Source organism: Homo sapiens, chromosome 14 (assembly GCF_000001405.40).
Source record: "Homo sapiens chromosome 14, GRCh38.p14 Primary Assembly".
Classification (NCBI taxonomy): domain Eukaryota; kingdom Metazoa; phylum Chordata; class Mammalia; order Primates; family Hominidae; genus Homo; species Homo sapiens.
In genome coordinates, this window is record NC_000014.9 from 36,336,518 (window position 1) to 36,346,973 (window position 10,456).

Consider the following 10,456-nt stretch of genomic DNA (forward strand, 5'->3'; position numbering starts at 1 on the left):
ACTTTTTTAACGGGAGCTCTCTTTTCAGTCAATTTAATCTCATTTATTTTTGTCAATACAAATGGGTTTCCAAAACACTTGGAAAATCTCCCTGAAGAAAATAAACTGTACTATCTGCTTTGTTATTGTTTTCCCTCTCAGCTGGCTTTACCTCCTATCCTTACACCCAAACAGCAGCATCATCTCCCTCACAAAGAAAAAAGGCAAAACTATTGAGATTTCAAGTATAGTTTTACAGCAACTTTCTTGAAAAGGTAAGTTAGTTAAATCATGGGCAAAGAAAATACTAAAATTTATACGAACAAATGTGTGCCTATTAAGCAACACATTAACTGCAAGCAATTTCATATGTAAATTACCTATAATTTGAATGCAATTTTCTAAATTTTTTTAATGTGAGTAGTTCCAGAAGTTCTTTGGTGTTTAATAACATGTGCTATTATTAAGACAGTTGTTAAAGTGCAGATGTTTTGTTCAGTGCCTGACCCTTTCAGTACACTGTCTAAGAGAATGTTGTTACTTAGAACTGAAGCCAACTATCTTGGGCCTTTAGGCTTTCTTTCTCCTCAACATTAATTATATGTCTGATGCTTTGGTAGGCAATGGAGATTCAACTGTGAACAAGTCAGATACAGCCCTACTCTTGGGTTGTGCAAAGTCTAGTCACACAAATATTCAAGTGTCTAGTGTGAGTCTGGCCCTGTCCTGGGAATGTTAAAGGAAAAGATACTCCATATGCTTGAAGAGCTTCTGAGTTCTTATCCTCTTGAGTGGTATTTTCCTGAGAACTTCACAGCAACTTACATTTACCCACCTACCTAGTTTTCTAAGAGAGGGGAATTGAGAACAGAGTCAGTCAGCTTCTTTTCATTTAAAACTAGGAATCCATTTAAACTGAGGAAAATCCAGGTTTCATAAAATTGGTTAAAATAAAAGATACTAACTCTGCCATAAAGAGTTTTAGAATTGTGCTATATTCAATCATATCATTTTTGAATAAGCTAATGCCATATTGCCATATGTTCTTACAGTCATTTCAAATATGCAGACACATGGAATATGTAAATTCCAGGTAGATAAGGAACAGCATACATAAAAATCATAGTAGCTAAATCAGTGGAGGCTGTTCTTTAATTTTTATAGATTTAATGTCCTCTAAAAGGGTCTCATTTATTCAAAAAGGGAATTTATAGGGTTTGTTGTATGGAATTTCCAAAATCTCACGATGGAAGAAGTAAATATTACTTATTACTTTAATATTTTTATAATACCTTGCATTTAACATTTATATACTTTTACAAAAGTTCAGGGTAGGAGTTTATCATGAAAAGGCACTTCTGTGGACATCCTGATAAAGAATTCTACAACAGGTTTACTAATAGTACAGCTATTTCAGAAGTCATGTTGAAATGCAATTTAGAACAGTTTAGAAGACAGTAATTCATTTTTTGTGGGTTAAGAATATGGGGGAAATATCACGTAACATCAAGCTATTTGAGGGAGAGAGGGCTTGCCTTTAGCAAAATGTAAAACTCCACTTTGCATTTATTAAATCCCTATCTTTTGTCCAGGCCAATTCTCACCTTCCACCACCACCCTACCTATGTGTTTCCCCTGATCTTTTTCCTGTACGATAGAGAATTTTGTTAAAATAGTATTCTTGGAGAAAGTCATACCACCATATGTACCCTGGCCTACTACAAAAATCAATCTCTCCTATTCCAACTGGGTTCTCGTTGCTGCTAGGCTATCTTGATATTGATCTCCCATTTATTCCCCAGCACACTTCCCTTCGCTGATACTTCAGGTCTCTCGTTGCTCACACATCTAATTCACTACTTACCCTTTCCATTCTCAGCAGATAATAACCATCCTACTTTACTGAGAAATTCACAGATAACTAGTGTGTGCTTTCTCATTTCTGTTATCTCTACCTTAAAGCAGCAAATGTTTATTGAGTGTCAACCATATCCTAGGCAATGGTATGTCAATAGTGATGTAGCTGATTGATTTTTGTATCCATCACACCCAGAACAGTTCCTGGCACACAGTAGGTGTTCAATAAATGTTAAAATGAAAGTACCTATGAATGAAAAAATAGATCTAGTGGCTGAGATGCTTTAGCTAGAGGAGAGGGAAAGTAAGGAAACCCACAATAGGTATTGTGACCTCCTCAGATGTTCTTTCATGGTAAAGTAGGATTGTTGCTCTCTCAAAGGAAGAAGTGTTTTTTATTCCCAAGACTAAACTCATACCATCCCTTTGTGCTTCCTCTTTGAACTTGATTTGTATCTCCCAAAGGAGGACATCTTCACTGTACCTGAACACATAAACTCATATGCTCACATGCTATCCACCACCAGCTTCAACAACTAAAACTCTACCATGCCTTGTTGACTGGAAACATCCTATTTTCATACTTCTATTTTGCATAAGTCATTTGCAGTTTCTACAGTATACTCATTTCCTTGCCATCCATATTGTCCCCCTGCATTTTTACTTCTGTTTTATTACTCCTATTTAAAATAGGTAAAATCTCACCTATTTTTTCTAAGACTCAGCTTGAGACTCACCCTTTCCACCAGGCTTTCTCTGGCCCCCTCATAACTGGAAGCTTCCTTGAGAGAGCCAGCATTGTCTGTGCTATTCCTATGACATATATCGTTACCTCCTGTCTTAGTTGTTTTGTGTTGCTATAACAGAATACCTCAGGCTGGGTAATTTATAAGGAAAAATTTATCTGGCTTATGGTTCTGGAGGCTGGTACTGGCATCTGCTCAGCATCTGGTGAGGGGTTGCTGTGTCATCCCATGGTGGAAGGTAGAAGGGCACAGAGTGTGAGAGCAAGAGCAGGAAGGGGTCCAAACTCATCTGTTTTATTAATATAAGGAATCCACTCCTGTGATAACTAACCCACTCCTGTGATAATGCGTCATCACTACTTAAAGGTCCCATGTCTTAATACTGTCACAATGGCAATTAAAATTTAACGAGTTTTGGAGGGGACATTCAAACCATAGCATCTGTTTTCTATTTCTATGCAATATCATGGGTTTCATTTCCCTAACATAATCAGGGTTCAATAAATATTGGTTGAATGAGCATTGATAAACTGAATACCTTAAATGGGAATGGCAAAATAAAAAAATGATTAAAGTTTTACAATGTACTTTTTTTGTGTAATAACTCCAACAAACAATTTTTAATGCCATTTCTTTTCATGTCTTGTCACTCAAATGAATGAAGTTTTCAGAAATTTGTCTAGTTTCAGTCTTAGCTAGCAAGACATTGTTAGAAATGGTGGTAGTGATATCTTAGTTCCTTCCTTCTATTGTGGGAAGAAACTAATGTCTAATATAATATGTGTTACAAAAGACTCAATTTATCCAATAAAACTTCAAGACAATTTCAAAGGACCTCTGACAGACTGATTTCTGAACCAATTCCAAGATGTATTACTTAAGACTACAAATGAGGATTTCTGGTTTGCTTTCAAATGGTTCTGATGTTCCTCATTTTGTTATGTTTTTCAGTTGGTGCTGGTATCGCTGTACCTCTCAAATAGCTTCCCCATTTTGACTAAGAATGAAGAACTTCTTGGACAAAGAACTTGTAAAAATCAGGTACAATAATAAAGTTGTGAATGGTTCTTGGAATTTGCTAAAATGAAATGCTGCATCTAAGTGCAATGTAAGTGCAACGTCTTAGCCATGTAAGATCATTATCATAAAGTAATCATCGTGATTAAAAAAAACTCTAATTGAATCATTATTCTTTCCAAAAGATCAGAATTCTAAGAATACTTCTCAGAAGCTCTCAAGTTTAATATGGAGCAGGAAATATTGCAATGAGTCCTCAGGAGTGAGAAATTTTAAAAATTAAAAAAAAAACCAGTTGTGCCATTCTTTCATTATGCTTTTTAATCATTTCATTATTCATAACTATACAGTACTTACATGTGGTGAAGAATGTAGTCATAGGGGAATGTATTTGTCAGCATACTGATATGTAAAAGAGAATAAAAGTAAAAACAAAATAAGAATACTCAGTGGGTTCTCATATTTCATATTTGAAACTTCAGATATATGTTCCTTTTTTGAAACACATGAAAACATTTATATATTTATGCTATAAACAGGTAAAAACAACTCTTAAATAGATCAGCAGAGCCAGATCAGCAATTTCTTATCTTGACTAAATGGACATACCAACAGCAAAGTAAAGCCAAAAATAGGCATATAATATAATTTTACAGCTGCATCTATGAGGACACAAGTGATATTTTAATATTCAATCAGAAATATTACATACAAAAGTTATGGAAATCTACCACTAAATTTTCTGGTGGTTAAGATTTTAGTGGAGTGTGTGATCACTATAAAATTTTAAAATTTCAAAATAATGTGCCAAGTGTGAAGGGACAATGCATACCAAAGGGGAGAAAGAAATGTAATTGTCAACAACTCAGTAAGAAGATGTTTGAAGGATCTATTGAGCTTAATTCTTTACCTACCAGTTTCAGAAATGAAATGCCCAATCTAATATACTTCTGGATCATATTTGAAGATGATTTAATTTAGCCAGTCATTCTGTTTTTCACTCTCCTCCCATTTTGGCATACTGTGTCCCACCTTGACATTAAGAAGTTATTAGTCAGCCTAGGAGAGGCTGTGCTGCAGTAATCAACGTTGGTGGCTTAAAATGGCAAGTTTGTTTCTTACTCCTTTTACATGGTGGCCATAAGTTGGCCTGGGACTCTGCTCTACATTTTCCTCATTTAAGGACCCTGGCTGAGAAGGAGGCTCCATCTTCATTCTTCCACAAATACTGCAGCAAAGAAAAAGTAAAATGGCAAATAGCACACAGACTATTAAAGCTTCTCCTTAGAATTACTGTTTTTTTCACTTCTGATCACACTAATTGATCAAAGCAAATCACATGGCCATGTTAATTTCAAATGGGGTCAAGAAGAGTAATCCCCTCATGTGCCTAGAAGGAAAAAAGCCAGAATGTTTAGTGCACTAATGATTTCCACAGGAAATTTCCACAGGAAAGATTAGAGATGGCAACTCTTCTAACCGATTCTTAGTTCAATCCAGATTTCGGTGTGGGATTTCTTCCTTTTCTAGTTGTAGAACTCTGGGAGTATATCAATAACTCTCTTCAAGGATTTATGAGAGAATAACTCTCTTCAAGGATTTATGAGAGAATAGTATATGAAGCATTAGGATCAACTGTTTTACAATTCATTCATTCATTTATTTATAGATTCATGGTCTTTCTTTTGCCCTCAAGTGAGAGGTGAAGCCAGCTGGACTTCCTGGGTCAAGTGTGGACTTGGAGAACTCTTCTGTCTAGCTAGAGGATTGTAAATGCACCGATCAGTGCTGTGTATCTAGCTAAAGGATTGTAAATGCACCAATCAGCACTCTGTAAAAACGTACCAATCAGCTCTCTGTGTCTAGCTAAAGGATTGTAAACACACCAATCAGCACTATGTAAAATGGACCAATCAGTGCTCTGTAAAACGGGCCAATCAGCAGGATGTGGGCAGGGCCAAATAAGGGACTAAAAGCTGACCACCGGAGCCAGCAGCAGCAACCTGCTCGGGTCCCCTTCCATGCTGTGGAAGCTTTGTTCTTTCACTCTTCACAATAAATCTTGCTGCTGCTCACTCTTTAGGTCCACACTACCTTTATGCGCTGTAACACTCACTGCAAGGGTCTGCAGCTTCATTCCTGAAGTCAGCGAGACCACGAACCCACTGGGAGGAACAAACAACTCTGGACGCGCCACCTTTAAGAGCTGTAACACACACTGTGAAGGTCTGCGGCTTCACTCCTGAAGTCAGCGAGACCACGAACCCGCTGGAAGGAATAAACTCCGGAGACATTGGAAGGAAGAAACTCCAGACACACCATCTTTAAGAGCTGTAACACCACGAAGGTCTGCGGCTTTATTCTCGAAGTCAGCATGACCAAGAATCCACTGGAAGGAACCAATTCCGGACACACAAGGAGGATATAATTTGGTAGAAAATATAGATCTAGGCTCCATGAATCAATTAGGAGGATGAGGCTAGCCATCATATCATTCAAGTGAATGGTGATAGGTCACATAGTGAAAAAATAAGAACAACTCACGTCTGTAATCCCAGCACTTTGGGAGGCCAAGGCAGGTGGATCATCTGAGGTCAGGAGTTTGAGACCAGCCTGGCCAACATGGTGAAACCCTGTCTCTACTAAAAATACAAAAAAAAAATTAGCTGGGCTTGGTGGTGGGTGCCTGTAAGCCCAGCTACTCAGGAGGCTGAGGCAGGAGAATTGCCTGAACCCGGGAGGTGGAGGTTACAGTGAGCCGAGATCACGCCACTGTACTCTAGCCTGGGCAACAAGTGCAAAACTCCATTTCAAAAAAAGAAAAAAAGAAAAAATAAGGACAAATGAAATTACATGAAAGATTAGTGTTAAGTGGAATCAGTTAAGAACATTTTATTGAGAAAGTGCACCATTAGGTAGACATGAAATACTAGATTTAGTTTGATAGAAAGAAGGAAAGAGGGTGTTTCTAGTTAGAAACACAGTAACTTAGAGTCCAGAAATGGGAATGAACAAGGAAGAAGCAGAGATGAGATTTGCTCAGTTGGGCAAGGATGAGATTAGAATTGAAGTGGCATATCAATTCAGATCAAGTTTTCTATGAATTGAAATACGAGGCTAAAAAGTTTAGATGTTTAGAAAAGATTTGTTTTGGTAGGCAACACTGACAAACTCTGGATTCAACCAAAGCCAGAATAAAAAAGTGTTTTAAGTTGTAGGAGTTTTATGGGGTACATCTAAAGAAGAGATTCCTAAGAGGCTGTGTTTTATAACAAATCTTGAGAAAGTTAAAAACAGGGTTCCTTTTCAACCTTACAGAACTTCAGTCTGGTTGGGGAGATAGTGTTTAGTGTTTGAGTGAAAATTTTCAAGTGTAAATTTGGTCATGGAGAGAAACTCTTTCACTTTAAATAGTTAAGAAAAACAAAACCCTAATTCAACTATCCAAAAAAGTTTTGATTATTTTACCTGGAGATAAGAGGTTGGTTTAACTTATGTCATAATGATAAAAATACACGCATATATCATAAAATAGAAAATGTACACATGCTACCTAATAAAAGAGCATGTTGCATTTTCAAATCATAAATAAAAATTTATTTTGTTCTATTTATTAAAACATAAACCATGGTTTCGTAGGACAAATATGGTCTTTAGAAGGAGACAGACCTGAGTCCAAATCCAAGTTCTGCAACTTAGTAGAAAAGTAGAGAAGGTTAACTCATTTTATATCCCAAAGCCTCAGTTTCCTACCTGTAAAATAGGGAAAATAATTGTACCTGACTCAAATGGTTGTTGTAAGGGTTAAATAATAAAACATACATAAAGTACCTAGCACATAATAGGCATACTGGCAGTAATGACAATGATTATTTATAGGCAGTTTCTAAATATTATTTAGTTGAATTAAATTTGAGGAAAGGTTTCTTAATGACTTTATATTTGTAAGGATTATAAACTTAAATCCTAATTTGCTGTCTATTTATTAACTAAAGTTGACTTCATAATTTTATTTATATTTTATTAAACAAATATGTAAAAAGAAGAAATAAAGAAGAAAATAAAGCTTAAGTCAGATAATACAGTGTTATATTTCTTAGGTATTCGTGAGCCTTTATTGGTTTTGTTCCATTGGTTGAGCATTGTATTCAACAAATAGGAATGTTAAGCATTACATTCCTATTTTGCAGATGAGGAAGCTATACAAGATAAGTATTGCTTATTTACAAAGTTAGTTGAAAAAGCAGTTGTTTCAACTTTTGGCACCGGTTTGGATTAACTACTGTCTTGATTTCTTTTTCCCCAGTAGTTTTATAGTACTTGCCTTTTAGGTTAAAAGTTGTGGTTTTGAGTGTGTCAATTTTCAAATTGTATCCTAACAACTATATTTTAGTCAATCTGAGATTCCTAAGAACTTCATCACTTCACAAAATTGCATTCCTGGTTCTTTCCTCATATGTGTACCACACTTTAAATATAGAGGAATTGACAGTATGATAATCACTAAAATGAAAATGAAGAAATAAAATAGAAATTCTTAACAACTTAAAGGTAGTAATCACTAAATTTTAATTTGAAAATGTCCTAAGAACAACCATATACCAGTATGCACATTTTAATGTCATATATGGTAATAGGGCCATTAGCTTAATGGAGTATTAAGGTCTGATATTTCCTCTGATTGGGTAGATATCCACAGTGTGGAAATAATGTTCTTAGTCTGAGCACTTATGAAGAAATAAAAAATGCTAATTATTTTTCTGAAGTATTTATTTTGGTGGTTCCTCAAGAAATGGTCCAGAGTTTCTGCTCTCCTGGAGAATCATTCACCCCATTACCCTTTTGGCATTACTGATCTCAACTCTTGAAACGAAGAAAGAGAGAATGTGTGAGTGTATAGGAAAAATGGCTTCAAGTGACAAAGTAAACGCTTTTGTGACTCAGTTGGACCAGGTAAGTATTTATTTCGGCCTTAGTGTTTCACACTAAGTCTGGGCGAATGTGTTTGATAAGCCACCAAGGAAAAGATGGCCTTTGTTGTTATACTTGAGTGCTATTATGCCATACAAACAAACAAATCACACACCACCCTCCCCCCTAAAAAAATAAAGATAGAGAAAAGGAAAGGAAAAAACTCCACAGCTTAATTTAAAGATTTTGTAAGTGTTTGGCTGTTTTATGATTTCTCAGTTGAAACTACCGGGTTTTTTTTCCTCTTTCTACTTTTACACACAGCCCAGAAGATGGACATTTGGTGAATCATAATAGACTGCTCCTTTCCCAGGTATCTCCTGTTTGTTTCCTTTATCTGTGAATAGGAAATGGCTTAAAGGCACCTGTGTGATGAAGGTCCCAGGGGCAGCTGCCTGACTAGTGAATGCCTGATTATGTGTTAACATGCTTTGTCAGATATTGGCAGAATCTGTTCTCTTCTTTTGCCTTTTCAGCAAGGGTACCATTGACAGCCTGGCTACCCATTTATAGAAATGTTGTCCATCAAACTGTGAGGAAGGACAATAGTGTTTTTCTGTGGCCAGTGACTGTGGGAAACTTTTCTTTGGCTATTCAGGCAATTTTTGTAGCTTGCTCTGAAGAGGAGAGACTGATGAGTGCAAAAAGTACAATTAAGCAAAGCCAGACTTCAATTGAAGGCTGTAGTGTAGTCTGCTGTTCTCATTTTTTTTTTAGAGGGGGAAAAAACCCTATGGGTTTTCACGTTGCTGTGTGGCATTCAGCAGGGGGCTATTACAATCCTAAATTTTTTTTTCTAGACCACCTAATTCTAAGTTAAAATTAAATGTAATGAGAGCCACTTGGAGTTCTGAATATTTTAAAGCATAATTCCCACAGAAGGGATTCGACCTAAACTGCAGTGAGCATCAGTTGGCTAATTATAGCTGCATTTTATATTACAGCAGGTGTCAGATGCAGTCATCTCAATAAAGTCCACATAATACTCTGGGAAATAACAAAGACTTTTCTTTGAATGTGGGTACTAATTTCTTCTAGGTGTCATATGAGCCTTGATACTTCTTATTGGCATTAACAAGAGCACTGCAGCACTCAGAAATGCTTTTTGCTTGGGATGAATTGATACTGTAAAGCACTTACCAGTCAGAGTTGGCAGATGTCAGTAGTTAATACTAGTGTTGCAGAGGTTGGAATATAATGCAAAGAGTCTTATGTAAATACTCTTAGATGATGGGCTGGTTTTGAGAAGGCGACTGAGCACTGCACCAACTCACTTAACGAAAGTTAAATAGATAGCAGTGGGGTATCTGCATTTACTTTGGCTCCTGCTTTATTGAAAGTCCTCCAGAAGTAAAGGGCAGATGGTACGGCAGTAAACTAGGTGAACAAAATATCCTGGACTTGGATAAGGACTTGTTATGTTCACAGTGCTTTCCTTGAACTTGTGTAGGTGATTCAAATTACTGAAGTGATAGCAAGTACAAAAGCATGCCTGGAGATAAGGACTCCTTATAGTATTAAAAAATAAATTTAATTTAGAACATATGTCTTCACTTGAAATGCAACTGGACAATGGGTTAGGCAAAAAGAATGTTACTTTAAAATCATGACATTTGTTCTACACTGCTCCATTCTTCTAGGAGAGTGACATTTTATCCAACCTATTGTAGTCACATTAGTTCATAGCAGATGAGATCAAAATGAAAGATCTATTAAAAATCATATTGTGGAATACCAACTAAGATACAACAAATGTGAACTCTTTACACATATTCCATTCTGGAATCAACTCTGGGTTTTTTGTTTGTTTGTTTTTCCTTTTAAATCTAATGCACAGCCAGCAAAGCAAAGATGGGTTGCCCTTAATTTTGATCCCCAGAAGCAGC

General features: G+C 36.3%; 1 annotated feature.

Annotated features, from left to right (window-relative positions):
• Positions 8,579–10,214: an enhancer, noted in NCBI's record as "VISTA enhancer hs592". NCBI's record gives its function as "enhancer in: hindbrain (rhombencephalon)[8/9]" and the evidence as "EXISTENCE:transgenic organism evidence [ECO:0001131][PMID:17130149]".